This window comes from Homo sapiens, chromosome 15 (genome assembly GCF_000001405.40).
Source record: "Homo sapiens chromosome 15, GRCh38.p14 Primary Assembly".
In the NCBI taxonomy this organism is placed as follows: domain Eukaryota; kingdom Metazoa; phylum Chordata; class Mammalia; order Primates; family Hominidae; genus Homo; species Homo sapiens.
In genome coordinates, this window is record NC_000015.10 from 76,030,308 (window position 1) to 76,049,898 (window position 19,591).

Consider the following 19,591-nt stretch of genomic DNA (forward strand, 5'->3'; position numbering starts at 1 on the left):
AGCCATCATGCTACAACTTCAAAATATACTACAAAACTGTAGTAACCAAAACAGCATGGTTCTGGCATAAAAACAGACACATAGACCAATGGAACAGAATACAGAACCCAGAATTAAAGAACCTATGCTTCTACAGCCACCTGATTTTTCACAAAGGCATCAAGGACTCTCATTGGGGAAAGGACAATCTCTCCAATAAATAGTGCTGGGAAAACTAGATAGCAATATGCAGAAGGATGAAACTAGTCCCCCACCCTCTAACCTTATAAAAAAAGCAACTCAAAATGGATTAACAATCTAAATGAAAAACCTCAATCTATGAAACTACTGCAAGGCAACATAGGGGAAAGACTTTAGGACACTGGTCTGGGAAAAGATTTTATGAATAACACCTCAAAGGCACAGTAACAAAGCAAAAATAAACAAATTTGAATCTCTAATTTAAAATCTTTCCACAAAGGAAACACTATGCCTGGATGGCTTCACTGGTGAATTCCACCAAACATTTCAGGAAAAAGAGATAACATTATACACAATCTTTTAGATACTGAAGAATGAACATTTCCCAACTCATTTTTCTGAAGCCAACATAACCTTGATGCCAAAACTTGACAAGAAATTAAAGAAAAGAAAATTACTATTAATCCTCATGAACATAGACCAAAAAAATCCTTAAAAAATTAGCAAATCAAATCTAGTGATATAGTAAAAGGATAATATATCATGACCAGTAGGGTTTATCAGCATGGTTGGTCTAATATGTGTGAATTAATACAATTCACCACATTAACAAAATAAAAGACAAAGATTATATTGTCACCTCAATAGATTCAAAAAAGGCATCTGATAAAACTTCAATATCCATTCATGAGGGAAAAAAAATCTCCACAAACTAGGGGAAATTGCTTAAGCTTATAAAGAGTATCTACTAAAAACCTACAATTAGCATCATATTTCACGTTGAAATATTGAAAGCCTTTCCCCTAAGATTAGAAACAAGGCAAAGAAGTCCAATTTCACTATTTCTATCACCACTATACTGGAGGTCTTAACTAGCACATTAGGACAATAAAAAGAAATATAAAACATAAAAATTGGGGCTGGGCACAGTGGCTCATGCCTATAATCCCAGCAGTTTGGGAGGCCGAGGCAGGTGGATCATCTGAGGTCGGGAGTTCAAGACCAACCTGGGCAACATGGTGAAACCCCATCTCTATTAAAATACAAAATAAATCAGCCAGGCATGGCAGCATGCTCCTGTAGTCCCAGCTACTCGGGAGGCTGAGGCAGGAGAATTGCTTGAACTCAGGAGGTGGAGGTTGCAGTCAGCCAAGATTGCACCACTGCACTCCAGCACTCCAGCCTGGGCGACAGAGCAAGATTCCGTCTCTCCAAAGATTAGCTGGATGTGGTGGCACATGCCTGTAATCCCAGCTACTTGGGAGGCTGAGGCAGAAGAATCACTTGAACCCAGGAGGCAGAGGTTGCAGTGAGCCAAGATCGTGCCATTGCATTCCAGCCTGGGTGACCGAGTGAGACTCTGTCTCAAATAAATAAATAAATAAAACCCCTAAAAATTGGAAAGGAAGAATAAAGCTGTAATTATTCACAGATAAATGCTTTCAATGGTGAAAGAAAATGAGCATATGTATGGCATACATTACTCAAGAAAAGCCAGCACACAGGGTAAACAAGAAGTAGAGAGGAGAATTACCCACTAATAAGACTTTATATGCTAGGCACAGAGCCACCATGCTAATAATACATTCTTAAAAATAAGAGTAATTTAAATCAAGAAAAAGCTCAAGCTTTAAGGTTTGTTTCAAACCACTTCAATAGAGTGTTCAAATATCAGTAGAAATAGACCAAAAAGATTTTCCAGTCAATTGGTTGAAAATACCCTTATCATACATTTAAGAATCACCTTAGATGCTGACTTTGCAAGTCTTACAATATTGTTAGTTTTTGTGAGGCCTGACTCAGGGTACATCAGAAAAGAATGGCAAAATATTGTGTACAAAGCCACCAAGAAAACCACAGTAGAGACCATTAGATCTCAATACCCCCCAAATCATGTCTTAGGCATTTAATAAATAACAGAATATTCAGTGTCAGGACCTTTCCGATTATTTTTAAAAGCTTTTGGTTTTAGAATTTAGCATAAACAAAATGAAAAAACTTCAGACTACTTTTCTAGGAAAATTATTTTGATCACAACTTGTCAGTATGTGAATAAATAACAAACATAAAATCTTAAAAACTTTCTTTGAAGGCCAAATATAATTTTTCTATAAACTACATCCACAGAAAAATATCTATTCTTCTTTGCCACATATTTTCCTTTGGTTGTTGTTTAAGCATCTCCTTGTGATATAAAAAGCTGGCACAAATGGCTATTACCATGAATTAATTTTTAGAAAGGCAAAAATAGAAAAGTAAAATCTTAAACCTCATATGATTGAGTCAACAATTGGAACAAAAAATTTTCTGAAATGATGAACAAAAACATTTAAAAGGACAACTGAAAGTAAAAGTAGATGTTCTGATATAAGGCAGTTAGAGTAAAATATCACTTTGGAAGTAATAAACATTTCCCAGCAGTCAGTGATGCAGAACTAAAATACTATCTTATTCAAAAGCCATGACTATATTGAACCTATCATACTGGACTCAGCAATTTCTTTCTGAAGACTTTTATTTGGTTGTAAAAGTTTGTAGCATTTCTTACTACATGGGAAACCAATTTTCAGAAGATATTCCCTAATTATATTAAAGTGCAAGTCTTAGCTATGCTGACATTCTACTCCTAAAAGTAAAATGTAAACTGGGCTATGTATCAAGAAGATGTCTGTCAATAGTAACACCTCAAAAATGCAATTTTACATGTGAATTGAATCAGCCTACTGTAAAAGTTTTTTTGTTTTGTTTTGTTTTAGTTTGTTTGTTTTTCCCCAAAAGCTTTTCCCGGCCAGTTGTGGTGGCTCACGCCTGTCATCCTAGCACATTAGGGGACCAAGGCAGGAAGATACCTGGAGGCCAGGAGTTCAAGATCAGCCTGGGAAACATAATGAAATCACATCTGTATTTCAAAAAATAAACAAATAAGGCTTGCCCTTACTTCATATAACCATTATTTACTAATAGGACATCATGGTTAAAAACAAAAATGTACCTGATATTGTAGCATATAAAAGAGACTTTTATAATGTATCAGTTTAGAAAGCTTTAGGTTGTAACAGTCAACCCAGTTCACAGTAGCATAAACAAATATGGATAAATTTCTCACAAGACACAAAATCTTGAACAGAGCAACAGCTAAAGTTGGTTCACTAATCAATGATGTCATCAATATTTTCAGTATTTTTTCTCCACCATCCTAAATGTGTTAACTTTTTGTACTCATTTTTATTGCCTAATGGTTCCAAGATGGTCACTTCAGCTTTAAGCATCACATCTAAGGTCAAACCCAGAAAAGGGGTTACCCCAGCCCTGTCTGACCCTTTTATCAGAAAAGAGGAAAGCCTTCCGTGAAGTCCCCCAGCAGACTCATGGACTAGAACTGTATTACATGGCCACTGTAGCAATAAGTTTTAAAAATCTAGTATTTAACTTTTCTAATTTTTATGGTGAAAATAAGGAATAGATATTGGATTGGATAACCAATAGTGTCTGTCACAGTCCTCAACCCAACATGCACATACACACTTCTTCTCACACCTATGCATTAAACAGAACATACTCATTCTCTCCTCAAGAAAGACAACCCTACTGTCTCATCCAATTACTGCAAACAGCTTTAAACAGAATCCCTGGGTGATTTTCTATCTGCTATATCAAGTGCAAATACGGCAATTCCTATCTGACCATCTGAATAGGCAAAAGATAAGATATCTATCTCTAAGCCATCCTCCTTTGTTAATATAACTGTGAAAAAGAAAGAACAGAGTAACCCCATTAAAATTCCCATTCAGAAAAGGGAATAATGGGAAGCACACATTGTCAACAGCCCACAATCCACACCATTATCTTAAGGACAGAAACAGCAGATTCCTTGGCAGGCAGTAAAGTAAATTCCCTGGTTAGTCAATCTGCTAGGTCCTGCTATAAGTCTCAGGAGCATCTGCTTTGTCATTGCCCTCTTTGGCGACATCTAAGGTAGTTTCTAAACAGACACCCTTCCCAGGGGCTCCAAAGCTTTTGCAGCCCACTTCACACTGGTTTGACTTAGAGTGGTGGATATGACAATTGCTTGGAGGGAAAAACTTCTGTTTTATTTGCTTCACATCAACTCCTTGTGTGAATAACCATAGCTAAAAAAAAAAAAAACACTTCCAAATAATCTTTAGGCCTGGGGATTCTTATCTCTTAGCTGCTGACCTATGAACTCTTAAATAGACTTGAGGCAATTCTAACAATAGCTTTAGGTGGAGAGGTACTACCACTAATCCCTGCAAAATTCCAAATTATGAGGTTCTTTGTCAATTTAGAGCAGGAGCTAAAGGCAGAATACTTCTATGGCGAACTGCATCCCCACCACCACCACTGCGCGTTCAATGCTGAGGAGCACTAATTTGAGTTCACCCCCTTCTATAGGATCCTACTGAAAAGTCACAAGAAGTAATTAATACATGCCAATATTCCAGATTTTTCCTATTGCTTCTCCTTATATTATAGCCTCCATTTCCACAGAGCCAGCCTGCCATTGAACGGCAGGCACAAGTTAATCAAATGCCTTGCGGTCACATAACAAGGGTAATAACTTTCCTCTCATCTTTCTCTGTTAAGTCTGGAGGTAGGTAGTCCAAAGCCAGAACTGCTGTTCAACAATGCCCCAGTCTCTTTCTGTCCATCTACTCCAAGGTCCACAGCTTGTGAGAATATTTTAGCCTCATGCTTGTCATCTCATGGTTACAAGATGCCTGCTATAGCTCCTGGCTTCATGATTCCATTTAAGGCACAAAGAGAGGAGAAAGAGTAAAGTACCAGCCACCTCTGTCCTCTTTATCAGGAAAGCAAAAGCCCTCCCTGAACTCAGCAGACTTCCCTTCTTAATCACTGGCAAAGGAGAACAGGATTGTTATGACTGGTTTCAACTATTCGATTTTTTATTTCAAGCTGGGCACATTGCTGCCCTAACAAAATTAAGGTGAGCAATAGGGAATGGGTATTATGGAAGCCACTAAGAATATCTGCCACTTATGAATATTTATAATTTTAAGAAATCAAACTCTATTTGGTGAAATTTCAGACTCGGTAACAGAAGTGAAAAAAAAAAGTCCCTCAGGCAGTGTTATAGAAATACATTTTAGGTACAGAAATCCCCACTCAAGCAAACCCATCCTACTTAGGAGTCTATCCTTGAAATTAGCAGCACCCTTTAGCAACTCTGCTTTTCATGGACTCTTCCTTTCCTCAATTCTGAACCTACAGATTCTCTAAAATACCCATGTTTGTTAACAACTGTTTCTATGGCAGCAGAGCCCCTGGTGGTCGGGCCCTGGGGTGGAGGCTATTTAGAAGTTAAAGACTGACAGTACACGCCAATAGCAGCTATTGTTGATGACATACCTGAGGTATTTCTGAAATAGATAAACGTTGTGAAAAAACAAAAAATATTTAAGGTGCCTGTTGCTCACCAAGAAATCTCTTGATTATAATTTGGGTTTCCCATCTAGGTCCACCACCTGAAAGAAAATGACTTGATCATTATGGTTCAACTGGTTTATGTAACAGTTTTATCTCCTAGTATGTTAATAAATTTGCATTCTGGCATTACATATTAGGTTTATAAGGTTGTCAAACTACTTTATTCTTCTCTGGGGCACTACTGATCAGATTAGGTTTCTAAGACAAAAAGACTGAGTCAGGCCCTGGTAAAAATTTCACTAAGGTTCTACCACCTGATGTGGTCTTTTGAATAACAGCAGCCGGCCTGCTCCAGGCAATAGCTCCTCACATCACTGATTATATTGGCATAAACAACTTTATGTAAAATGTTTAAGCAATAAATTTTTATTCCATGTAGCAGCTCACAAAAGCTACTTTAACATAAATTGTGCCACCTATAAATATACTCAAGTCACCAACCATTCAAAGTATCATCACTTCCCAGCAACCCTCAACTCATAGTTTTTTATATATATAAATATATGTAGTGTAGCTATACAGTATACAGAGAATGGGCTCTGGAGCCAGAAGGCTAGACTCCAATTCCCAATTCCACAGTAGAATGTTGCACCCTATAATGGGTGTGTGACATTGGGAGAAAAATCATTGTGTCTACTTTCTTCATCTATACATGAGGGCGGAGTTAGAAGGGGACATAATGATAATGCCTCATTCAAAGGGATATCTGAGTATCAAATTAATTTATACATGTAAAATGCCTGGAACATAGGAAGGATTCAACAAGTGCTAGCTATTATCATCACTCTTAATTGGGAAACTTAAATAGTGTATGACCACCTAACTCCTACTGAATGGGGAAAAATCAAATGCCTTTCCTCTAAGGACTGGAACAAGATAAGGATGTCCACTCTCACTACTGTTATTCGACATAATACTGGAAGTCCTGGCTGGAGCAATTAGACAGGAAAAAGAAATAAAGAGAATCCAAACTGGAAAGGAAGAAGTCAAATTAGCCTTATTTGCAGATGACATGATCTTATACACAGAAAAACCTAAAGACTCCACCAAAAAAAAACTGTTTGAGCTAATAAACTCAGTAAAGTTGCAGGATACAAAAATCAACATACAAAAATCAATAGTATTTCTATACGCCAAAAGCAAACAATCTGAAAAAGCAATCAAAAAAGCAATCTCGAGGGATGGAGCAAGATGGCAGAATGGAAGGTCCTACCAATCATCCCCCCTGCAGGAACACCAAATTCAACAACTATCTACACACACAAAAAAAGCACCTTTATAAGAACCAAATATCAGGTGAGCACTCACAGCACCTGATTTTAACTTCATAGTTCTGAAAGAGAAACTTAGAGTAGGAAAGAGTCTTGAATTGTTGATGCTACCCCTCCCCTATCCCATCACAGTAGCCAAGTGTTGTGAAGAAATCTGTGTGCTTGGGGAGAGTGAGAGCACAGAGACTGTGAGACTTTACATTGAACTCAGTGCTGTCACAGTATAAAGCAAAACTGGGCTGAACTTAGCTGACACCCATCTACAGAGGGAGCATTCAGACAAGCCCTAGCCAGAGGAGAATCACCCATCCCAGCAGCTGGAACTTGAGTTCCAGCAAGCTTCCTCATTGTGGGCTGAAGTGCTCTGGGGCCCTAAATAAACCGTAAAGGCAGTCTAGGCCCCAAGAACTGCAAGTTTTAGTGTTGAGCTGGGCTTGGAGCCAGTGGACTTACCGGTCATGAGACTTACTGAGACACAAGCCAGGGCACCTAAGGGAGTGCTTGCACTACCCGTCCCCCAACCCCAGGCAACACAGCTGTGGCTCCAAAAAAGTCACAAAAGAGCCACAAGCTGTATTGCCTGGTGTTGAAAAGGAGGTAGTGCAAATACTCCCTTTCCGCTTGAGAGGAGAGAAGAGGGAAGAGTAAAGAGGAATTTTGTCTTGCACCTTGGACACCAGCTCAGCCACAGTCGGATACAATACTAGACACAATACTAGACAGAATTGTGGCCCCCATTCCAGGCCCTAGCTCCCCAGATGACATTTCTAGACACACCCTGGACCCACAGGGAAACTGATTCCTTGAAGGGAAGGACCTATTCCTGGCAGGATGCATCATCTGCTGGCTAAAGAGCCCTTGAGACCCTGAATAATCAATAGTGATACTTAGGTAGTATGGCATGGGCCTTGGGTGAGACTGGGAGACACACTGGCTTCAGGTGAGACCCAGCACATTCCCACCTGTGGTGGCTATGGTAAGAGATTTCTTCTGCTTGAGAAAAGCAGAGGAAAAAGTGGAGACTTTGTCTTGCATCTTAAGTACAAGCTCTACCACAACGTGGTATAGCACCAATCAAGCTCTTGGGGTCCCTGATTCCAGGCCTTGGCTCGTGGATGGCATTTCTGGACATGGCCTGGGCCAGAGGGGACCCCACTTCCCTGAAGAGTGAATCCCAGGCTTGGTAGCATTCACCACAAGCTAACTGAAGAGCCCTCAGGCCTTAAGTGAACATTGGTGGTAGCCTGGCAGTACTCCCTGTGGGCCTTAGGTGGTAGTGACCATAAGGTGAGGGTCCTCTGCCTGTGAAAAGGAGAGGGAAAAGTGAGAACTGTTTTTCATGGTTTGAAAGCCCACTCAGCCACAGTGGAATACAACACCAGGAAGACTTCTAAGGTTTTTGACTCCAGTCCTTAGCTCCCAGATGGCATCTCTGGACCTGCCCAGGGCCTGCAGGAACTTGCCGCCCTGAAGGGAAGGACACAAGCCTGGTTGGCTTCACTAGATGCTGACTGTAGAGCCCTAGGGCTTTGAATGAACATAAGTGGCAGCCAGGTACTGGTTACAGCAGGCCTTGGGCAAGACCCAGTGCTGTGCTGGCTTCAGGTCTAACCCAGCACAGTCCCACTGGTGGTGGCTATAGGGGTGTTTGTGTCACCCTACTCCCAGCCAGAGGTGGCTCAGCACAGAGAAACTCCATTTGTTTGGGAGAAAGTAAGGGAAGAGAATAAGAATCTCTGCCTGGTAAACCAGAGAATTCTTCCAGAATTATCCAATATCACCAAGACGGTACTTCTACAAGTCTGCAAGAACCACAGCATTACTGGGCTTGAGGTGCCCCATAATGCAGACATGGCTTAGATCTTAGATCACAACACTCAAAGTCCTTTTGAATACCTGGAAAACCTTCCCGAGACAGGTGGATACAAACAAGCCTAGACTGAGAATACTGCAATGAATACCTAACTCTTCAATGCCCAGACACCAGCAAATATCCACAAGCATCAAGACCATCCAGGAAAACATACCCTCACCAAATGAACTAAATAAGGTGCGAGGCCAATCCTGAAGAAACAGAAATACATGATCTTTCAGACAGAGAATTCAAAATTGCTGTTTTAAGGAAACTCAAAGAAATTCAAGATAACACAGAGAAGGAATGCAGAATTCTATCAGATAAATTTAACAATGAGATTAAAATAATTGAAAAGAATAGGTAGAAATTCTGAAGGTGAAAAATGCAATTGACATATTGAATAATGCATCAGAGACTGTTAATAGTAGAATTGATCAAGCATAAGACAGAATTTGTGAGCTTGAAGACAGGCTATTTGAAAATACAGTTAGAGATTAAAGCAAAATAAAGAATGAAGCACACCTACATTATCTAGAAAATAGCCTCAAAAGGGCAAATCTAAGAGTTATTGGCCTTAAAGAGAAGGTAGAGAGAGGGGTAGAAACTTTATTCAAAGGGATAATAAGAGAGAAATTCACAAACCTAGAAAAAGATATTAATAACCAAGTACAAAAAGGCTGGCTGGGTGCGGTGGCTAACACCTGTAATCCCAGCACTTTGGGAGGCTAAAGCCTCCCAAAGGTGGACCATTTGAGGCCAGGAGTTTGAGACCAGCCTGGCCAACATGGCGAAACCCTGTCCCAAATTAGCTGGGCGTGGTGGCACACACCTATGCTCTCAGCTACTTGAGAGGCTGAGGCATGAGAATCATTTGAACCCGGAGGCAGAGGTTGAGGTGAGCCAAGATTGCACTACTGCACCCCAGCCTGGGCAACAAAGTGAGACTCTGTACCTGCCACCCCGCCAAATAAAAAAAAAGAGAGAGAGAGAGAGAAGGCAAGCAGATTTAACCCAAAGAAGACTACCTCAAGGAATTTAATAATCAAACTCCCAAAGGTTAAGGATAAAGAAAGGATCCCAAAAGCAGCAAGAGAAAAGAAACAAATAACATACAATGGACCTCCAATATGTCTGGCAGCAGACTTTTCAGTGGAAAACTTACAGGGCAGGAGAGAGTGGCATGATTTATTTAAAGTGCTGAAGGTTAAAAACAGTTTACCCTAGAATAGTATAATGTATCCAGCAAAAATATCCTTCAAACATGAAGGAGAAATAAAGATTCTCCCAGACAAGCAAAAGCTAAGGGATTTCATCAACATCAGACCTGTCCTACAAGAAATGCTAAAGGGAGTACTTCTATCAGAAGTAAGGATGAAGAAAAGAAAAAGAAAAGGATGTCAATGAGCAGTAAGACATCATCTGAAAGTACAAAACTCACTATCAATAGTAAGTACACAGAAAACAGAGACTTTTATAACACTGAACTGTGGTGTGTAAACAACTGTTATCCTAAATAGAAAGATTAAATGATGAACCAATCAAAAATAATAACTATGGGCCTGGCATGGTGGTTCACACCTGTTATCCCAGCACCTTGGGAAGCCAAGGCAGGCAGATCACAGATCATTTGAGGTCAGGAGTTCGAGACCAGCCTGGCCAACATGGTGAAGCCCTGTCTCTACTAAAAATATAAAAATCAGCCAGCTGTGGTCATGCATGCCTGTAATCTCAGCTACTAGGGAGGCTAAGGCAGGAAAATCGTTTGAACCCAGGAGGCAGAGGTTGAAGTGAGCTGAGATTGTGCCACTGCACTCTAGCCTGGGTGACAAAGTGAGACTCTGTCTCAAATAATAATGATAATAATAACTACAACAACTTTTCAAAACATAGACAGAACTGTAAGATATAAATAGAAACACAAAGTTAAAAAGCAAGAGGATGAAGTTAAAGTTTTTATTAGTTTTCTTTTTGCTTGTTAGTTTGTCTATGCAATCAGTGTTAAGTTGTAATCATCTTAAAATAATGGGTTATAAGATAGTATTTGCAAGCTTTATGGTAATCTCAAATCAAAAAACATACAACAGATACACAAAAAATAAAAAGAAATTAAATTATACCACCAGAGAAAATCACCTTCACTAAAAGGAAAACAGGAAGGAAGGAAAAAAGGAAGAGAAGACCATAAAACAACCAGAAAACAAATAAAACGGCAAGAGTAAGTCCTTGCCTATCAATAATCACCTTTAATGTAAGTGGACTAGACTCTTCAATCAAAAGACAGGGTGGCTGAATGGATAAGAAAACAAACAAAAAACCCAAAAAAAACCCACAAGACCCAATGATCTGTTGCCTGCAAGAAACACACTTTACCTATAATGATACACATAGATTGAAAATAAAGAGACAGAAAAAGATATTTCATACCAACAGAAACCAAAAAAGAGGAGTGCTATACTTATATCAGACAAAATAGATTCCATGACAAAAACTTTTAAGAAGAGACAAATAAGGTCATTATATAATAATGAAGGGTTCAATTCAGCAAGAGAATATAACAATTTTAAATATATATGCACCCAACACTAGAGCACCCAGATATATAGAGCAAATATTTGAGCTAAAGAAAGAGATAAACTCCAATATGATAAGAGCTGGAGATTCAACACCCCACTTTAAGCGTTGGACAGATCTTCCAGACAGAAAATAAACAAAGAAACATCAGACTTAATCTGTACTATAGACCACATGGACCAAATAGATACTTATAGAACATTTAATCCAACAGCTACAGAATACACAATCTTTTCCTCAGCACATGGGTCATTCTCAAGGATAGACCATATGTTAGGTCAAAAAACAAGTCTTAAAGTATTTTTAAAAATTGAAATAATATCAAACATCTTTTCTGACCACAATGGAATAAAACTAGAAATCAATAATGAGAGGGACTTTGGAAACTATACAAACACATGGAAATTAAACAATATGCTCCAGAATGACCAGTGGGTCAATGAAGAAATTAAAAAGAAAACTGAAACATTTACTGAAACAAATGATAATGGAAACACAACATGCCAAAACCTATGGGATACAGCAAAAGCAATACCGAGAGAGAAGTTTATAGCTATAAGCACCTACATTTAAAAAGTAGGAAAACATCAAATAAACAACCTAATGAAGCATCTAAAAGAAATAGAAAAGCAAAAGCAAACCAAACCCAAAAATCAGTAGAAGAATAAAGAGCAGAGATAAAATTGAAATGAATAAAATACAAAAGATCAATGAAATAAAAAGTTGGTTTTTTGAAAAGATAAACAAAATTGATAAATCTTTAGCCAGACTAAGAAAAAAGGAGAGGAGATACAAATAAATAAAATCAGAGGTGAAAAAGGAGACATTACAACCAATACTACAGAAATTCAAAGGATCATTAGAGGCTACTGTGAGCAACTACATGCCAATAAATTGAAAAGCCAAGAAGAAATGGATAAATTCCTAGACATATACAACCTACCAAGATTCAACCATGAAGAAATCCAAAACCTAAACAGACTAATAACAACTAATAAGATAGAAGCCATATTAAGAAGTCTCCCAACAAAGGAAAGCCGGAGACCTCTGACTTCACTGCTGAATTTTATCAAACATTTAAAAAAGAACTAATACCAATACTACTCAAACTATTCTGAAAAAGAGAGGAGGAGGGAATAGTTCCAAGCTCATTCTACAAGGTCAGTATTACCCTGATATCAAAACCAGATAAAAACACATTTAAAAAAAAAGCTACAGGCCAATAGCCCGGGTTAACACTCATGCAAAAATCTTCAACACAATACTAGCAAACCAAATTCAACAACATACTAAAAATATCATTTGTCATGACCAAGTGAGATTTATCCCATGGATGCAAGGATGGTTCAACATACACAAATCAATGTGATACATCATATCAAAAGAATGAAGGACAAAAATCATATGATTATTTCAATTGATGCTGAAAAAGCATCTGATAAAATTCAACATTTCATTGTGATAAAAACTAAAAAAACTGGGTATAGAAGGAACATAATTCAACATAATAAAAGCTATATATGACAGACCCATAACTAGTATCATACTGAATGTGGAATAGCTGAGTCTTTCTTCTAAGATCTGGAAGATGACAAGGATGCCCACTTTCACCACTGTTATTCAACATGGTATTGGAAGTCCTACCTAGAGCAATAGGACAAGAGAAAGAAATAAAGGGCATTCAGATTGGAAAGGAAGAAATCAAATTATCATTGTTTGCAGATTATTATGATCTTATACTTGGAAAAACCTAAAGACTTCATCAAAAAATTTAGAACTGATAAACGAATTCAGCAAAGTTACAGGATACAAAATCAACAAACAAACATTAGTAGCATTTCTATATGCCAAAAGTGAACAAACTGAAAATGAAATCAAGAAAGTAATCCCATTTACAATAGCTACAAATCAAGTATCAAGGAATTCACTTAATCAAAGAAGTGAAAGCTCTCTACAATGAAAACTATACCAATGCAAGAAATTGAAAAAGACACAAAAAATGGAATGATATTTCATGTTCATAGATTGGAAGATTCAATATTGTTAAAACGTCCACACTACCCAAAGCAATCTACAGATGCAATGCAATCTCTATCAAAATACCAATGACATTCTTCACAGAAACAGAAGAAACAATCCTAAAACTTATATGGAACCAGAAAAGACCCAGAATAGCCAAAGCTATGCTAAGCAAAAAGAACAAAACTGAATAAATCACATTACCTGACTTCAAATTACACTACAGACCTACTGTAACCAAAACAGCATGATACTGGCATAAAAATAGATACATAGACTAATGGAACAGAACACAGGACCCAGAAATAAATCCATACATGAACTAATTTTTTTTTTTTTGAGATGGAGTCTCGCTCTGTCGCCCAGGCGGGACTGCGGACTGCAGTGGCGCAATCTCGGCTCACTGCAAGCTCCGCTTCCCAGGTTCACGCCATTCTCCTGCCTCAGCCTCCCGAGTAGCTGGGACTACAAGCGCCCGCCACCGCGCCCGGCTAATTTTTTTTTTTGTATTTTTAGTAGAGACAGGGTTTCACCTTGTTAGCCAGGATGGTCTCGATCTCCTGACCTCATGATCCACCCGCCTCGGCCTCCCAAAGTGCTGGGATTACAGGCGTGAGCCACCGCGCCCGGCCACATGAACTCATTTTTGACAAAGGTGCCAAGAACATACTTGGGGAAAGGACAGTCTCTTCAATAAATGGTGCTGGGAAAACTGGATATCCATATGCAGAAGAATGAAACTCGACCCCTATCTCTCACCATATACAAAAATCCAAATCAAAATAAGATTACAGGCTTAATTCTAAGATGTCAAACTATGAAACTACTAAAAAAAATTGGGGAAACTCTCTAGGACATTGGAGTGGGCAAAGATTTCTTGAGTAGGCCGGGTGCAGTGGCTCACACCTGTAATCCCAGCACTTTGGGAGGCTGAGGTGGGTGGATCATGAGGTCAGGAGATCAAGACCATCCTGGCTAACACGGTGAAACCCCGTCTCTACTAAAAATACAAAAAATTAGCCGGGCATAGTGGCGGGCACCTGTAGTCCCAGCTACTTGGGAGGCTGAGGCTGAGGCAGGAGAATGGCATGAACCTAGAAGACGGAGCTTGTAGTGAGCCGAGATCATACCACTGCACTCCAACCTGGGCGACAGAGCGAGACTCTGTCTCAAAAAAAAAAAAAAAAAGATTTCTTGAGTAATACCCCACAAGCACAGGCAACCAAAGCCAAAATGGACAAATGGGATCCTATCAAGTTAAAAGGTTTCTACACAGCAAAGGAAACAATCAACAAAAGGCTTCTCCACAGCAAAGGAAATAATCAAAAAAGAAACAACCCACAGAATGGAGAAAATATTTGCAAACTGCCCATCTGACAAGGGATTATAACCAGAATATATAAGGAGTTCAAACAACTCTATAGGAAAAAAACCTGATAATCTGGTATTAAAATGGACAGAAGATCTGAACGGACATTTCTCAAAAGACATACAAATGGCATACAGGCATATGAAAAGGTGCTCAACATAATTGACCATCAGAGAAATGCAAATCAAAACTACAATGAGATATCATCTTACATCAGTTAAAATGGCTTTTATCCAAAAGACAGACATTAATAAATGCTGGAGGAGATATGGAGAAAGGGAAACACTCACATACTGTTGGTGGGAACCACTATGGAGAACAATTTGGAGGTTCCTTAAAAAACTAAAAATAGGGCTACCATATGACCCAGCAATTGCACTCTGAGATATACACCCAAAAGAAAGGAAGTCAGTACATCAAAGAGATATCTACACTCCCATGTTTACTGCAGCACTATTCGCAAGAGCTAAGATTTGGAAGCAACCTAAGCATCCATCAACAGATGAACAGATAAAGAAAATTTGGTACATACATACAATGGAGTACTATTCAGCCATAAAAAAAAGAATGAGATCCTATCATTTGCAACAACATGGATGGAACTGGAGGTCACTGTTAAGTGAAATAAGCCAGGCACAGAAAAACAAACTTCGCATCTTCTCACTTATTTGTGGGAGCTAAAAATTAAAATAATTTAACTAATGGAGGTAGAGAGTGGAAAGATGGTTACCAGAGGCTGGGAAGGGTGGAGCAGGGGGCTGGTTGGGGGAAGTGGGGATAGTTAATGGATCCAAATTAGTAAGAAAGGATCAATAAGACCTAGTATTTGCTAGCACAACAGGGTGACTACAGTAAAAAATAATGTAATTGTACATTTTAAAATAACTAAGAGTATAATTGGATTGTTTGTAACACACAGGATAAATGCTTGAGGGGATGGATACCCCATTACCCTGATGTGATTATGCATTGCATGCATGTATCAAAATATCTCATGTAACCCATAAATGTATATACCTACTATGTTCCCACAAAAATTAAAAATAAAGCAATTTCATTTACAATAACTACAAAAATATATAAAATACCTAGGAATCAATCTAACTAAAGAAGTGAAAGATCTATACAAGCAAAACCATGAAACTGATGAAAGAAATTGAAGAGGACACGCACAAAAAAGGAAAGATATTCCATACTCATTAATTGGAAGAATTATTGTTAAAATGATAAAGACTACCCAAAGCAATTTACAGATTCAATGCAATCTCTATCAAAATGCGAACGGCGTTCTTTATAAAAATAGGAAAAAAAATTCTTAAATTTATATGGAACTACCAAAGACCTGGAATAGACAAAGCAATCCTGAGCAAAAAGAACAAAGCTGAAGGCACCACACTACCTGACTTCAAAATTTACTACAAAGCTATGGTAACCAAAACAGCATAGTACTGGCATAAAAACAGACACATAGACCAATGGAACAGAATGGAGAATCCAGATGTAAATCCACACATTTATTGCCAACTCCTCTTTGACCAAGGTGCCAAGAACATACAATGGGGAAAGGTTACCAGATGCAGAAGAATTTAACTAGACCCCTAGCTGTCACCATACACAAAAATCAAATCAAAATAGATTAAAGACAAATATTTAATGCTGAAACTATGAAACTACAGAAGAAAACATTGGAGAGATGTTCCATGACATTGGTCTGGGTAAAGATTTTTGGGGTAAGACCTCAAAGGCAACCAAAGCAAAAATAGACAAATGGGATTACATCAAGCTAAAAAGCTTCTGCACAAGGACACAATCAACAAATTGAAGAGACAGCCCACAGAATGGAAGACTATGTTTGCAAACTATCCATTTGACAAAGAATCAATAACCAGAATATATATGGAGCTCAAACAACTCAATAGCAAAAAAATATATACATATAATCTGATTTTTAAATGGGCAAAAGACTTGAACAGACATTTCTCAAAAGAAGACATACAAATGGTCAACATGTGTATTAAAAAAAACACTCAACATGACTAATCAGAGAAATGCAAATCAAAACCACAATGAAATATCATCAATAAAAGATACTGGTGGGGATGTAGAGAAGGGAAAGCCCTCATATACTGTTGGTGGGAATGTAAATTAGTACAACCTCTATGCAGAACAGTATGGCGGCTTCTCAAAAGCCTAAAAATAGATCTACCATCTGATCCAGCAATTCCACTATGGAGTCTACATCCAAAAGAAAGGAAATCAATATATCAAAGGGCTATCTGCACTCCCGTCTATACTGCAGCACTATTAGCAATAGCCAAAATATGAAATCATCCTAAGTGCCTATCAATGGATGAATAAAGAAAATAGGATATACGTACACACTGGAGTATTATTCATCCATAAAAAAAAGAATAAAATCCCGTCATTTGCAGCAACATAGATGAATCTGGAGGCCAATTATGTCAAGCAAAATAATCTAAGCACAGAAAGACAAATATGTTCTCACTCATATATAGAAGCTAAAAAAAATGAATCTCATGAAGACAGAGAGTAGAATGGTGGTTACCAAAGGCCATTAAGGATAGAGGAGAGGGAAGGATAAAGGGTGAAAAAAGGAATATAAATGTATTTATTACCAATAAACCGTACACTTAAAAGTGGTAAAGATGGTAAATTTTATATGTATATTTTACCTCAAAAAAAGTGAAAAAAAATAGTGTATAGTTGCAGTCTCTGCAAATGTAAAATGATTTAATAATAAAGATTCACTTTATATGCTAAATATGAAATAACACAAATTCCCCAAATTAATAATTCATCAAGAATTAAAGTTGCAGCCAGACGCAATGGCTTGCAACTACAATCCCAGCTACTTGGGAGGCTGAGGTGGGAGGATCACCTGAGCCCAGGAGTTCAAGACCAGCCTGGGCAACATAGTGAGACCATGTGTCCAAAAAAAATGTTTTTTAATTAGCTGACTGTGATGGCACAGGCCTGTAGTCCCAGCTACTCCAGAGGCTGAGGTGGGAGGATCCCTGGAGCCCAGGAGTTCAAGGCTGTGGTGAGCTATGATCTTGTCACTGTACTCCTGGGTGACAAGAGAAACCCTGTTTCAAAAAAAAAAAAAAAAAAGTTTCAAAAGCTGGTTGGAGGCTGGGCACGGTAGCTCATGCCTATAATCCCAGCACTTTGGGAGGCCGAGGCAGGCAGATCACTTGAGGCCAGGAGTTTGAGACTAGCGTGGCCAATGTGGTAAAACCCCATCTCTACTAAAAACATCAAAATTAGCCAGGTGTGGTGGTGCATGCCTGTAATTCTAGCTACTTCGGAGGCTGAGGCATGAGAATCACTTGAACGCAGGAGGCAGAGGTTGCAGCAAGCTGAGATCAGGCCACTATACTCCAGCCTGGGCAACAAAACAAGACTCTGACTCAAAAAAAAAAAAAAAAAAAAGCTGGCTGGTGAATGTGATTTATAAACTCTTAAGCTACTGCCACATGGCAATACCAAACTTTCCATTCTTTGCTGCCAGAAATAGTCTTGAATTATGCATGTCTCTACAAAGTGCTATAGCTCTGTATAGAAATGTAAAGGAGAAAAAAATCATAGTGCTCCCCACCCTCACTACCCTAAGCGCTGCCTCTCATACATACCTGGGTCTTTCTAAAGACTTCCTATGCCCTTGAAGCCTAGAAACTCAGTCTACAATCAATATCCAAATAGGGGCCAGGCGTGGTGGTTCATGCCTATAATCTCAGCACTTTGGGAGGCCGAGGTGGATGGATCACCTGAGGTCAGGAGTTCGAGACCAGCCTGGCCAACATAGTAAAACCCCGTCTCTAATAAAAATACAAAAATTAGCCGGGCACGGTGGTGCATGCCTGTGGTCCCAGCTACTCAGGAGGCTGAGGCAGGAGAATGGCTTGAACTCAGGAGGTGGAGGTGCAGTGAGCTGAGATCACGCCACTGTACTCCAGCCTGGGGGATAGAGCAATACTCCGTCACATAAAAGAAAAAAAAAATCCAAACAGGATATGTCTGTCAACATTGTTCCAGGAAAACTTCTCTGAAATAAGAGGGTCAACCAGCCTAGTTACTTTTCATATGTGTGTGCCCTTCTCAGGCCTGGGGTAATTATCATCCCCTTCCACCTGCAACACACATACATACACACACACACTCTGACCATTTTCCTGAGTATATTTCCTCAGTATACATAACTGGTCATCCTTAACATCTCCTTGCTTACAAAGAAATATTATCTTAAAGTTCCTAATTTTTCCTCAACTTGTGTCTATTTTTTCTCCTACTCAAATGCTTCTTTCATTTCCATTTTATTTGCTCACCCCATATGCACAAGCCTCTTTTTCCTTTTACCTCTGACCCTCCCATCCTCACTCTCAAACCCTCCTAACCACATTCACTCTACACCCAATTCTTCAACATCTCAGTCATTCTTCCCCTTCTTCCCTATTCATCAACAATATCTACTGGAAAGTCTGTTTCTTTGAGGACAAACCCTTTTTACCCTCAATTTATTTTTCACTTCTGTGCAGTTCACTCTAATAAAAAGCTGGTTCTCTTTTAGATTACAAGGTGCCTTTTCCAATATAACCACTTACTTCCCTTAATTTCTCCTCTTTCTCTGACTCAGTAGAAAGAACAACAGCCCTTTCCTTGCTCCTACATGAGATTTTCAGATTACCATACTGTAGCCTGTTTCTCATTGTTTGAAATCTCCACCCTATCCCACATTTCGGGGAACTATTCTTAACAATCCCACTTGAACACACTGTTCTTTAAATCTGTCCTCCCATCCTTCTCTCTAGTCTTGGTAGAGATGATACATTAAGAGTCCAC

The 19,591-nt window shown here is 38.8% G+C and overlaps 1 protein-coding gene across 8 annotated transcripts in view; it reads right to left on the bottom strand.

The window, feature by feature from the left end:
* The window catches only part of NRG4 (neuregulin 4), a 124,848-nt gene that overhangs the window by 94,915 nt on the left and 10,342 nt on the right, over positions 1 to 19,591 (bottom strand). For 5 of the 8 annotated variants that reach the window (XR_007064433.1, XR_007064432.1, XM_047432183.1 and 2 more), the window contains one exon: positions 5,637 to 5,684. The exons of the other annotated variants lie outside the window; for them this stretch is intronic. The gene's annotated coding sequence lies outside the window, so the exon portion shown is untranslated. The remainder of the gene's footprint in view (positions 1 to 5,636; positions 5,685 to 19,591) is intronic. 8 annotated transcript variants of the gene reach the window in all.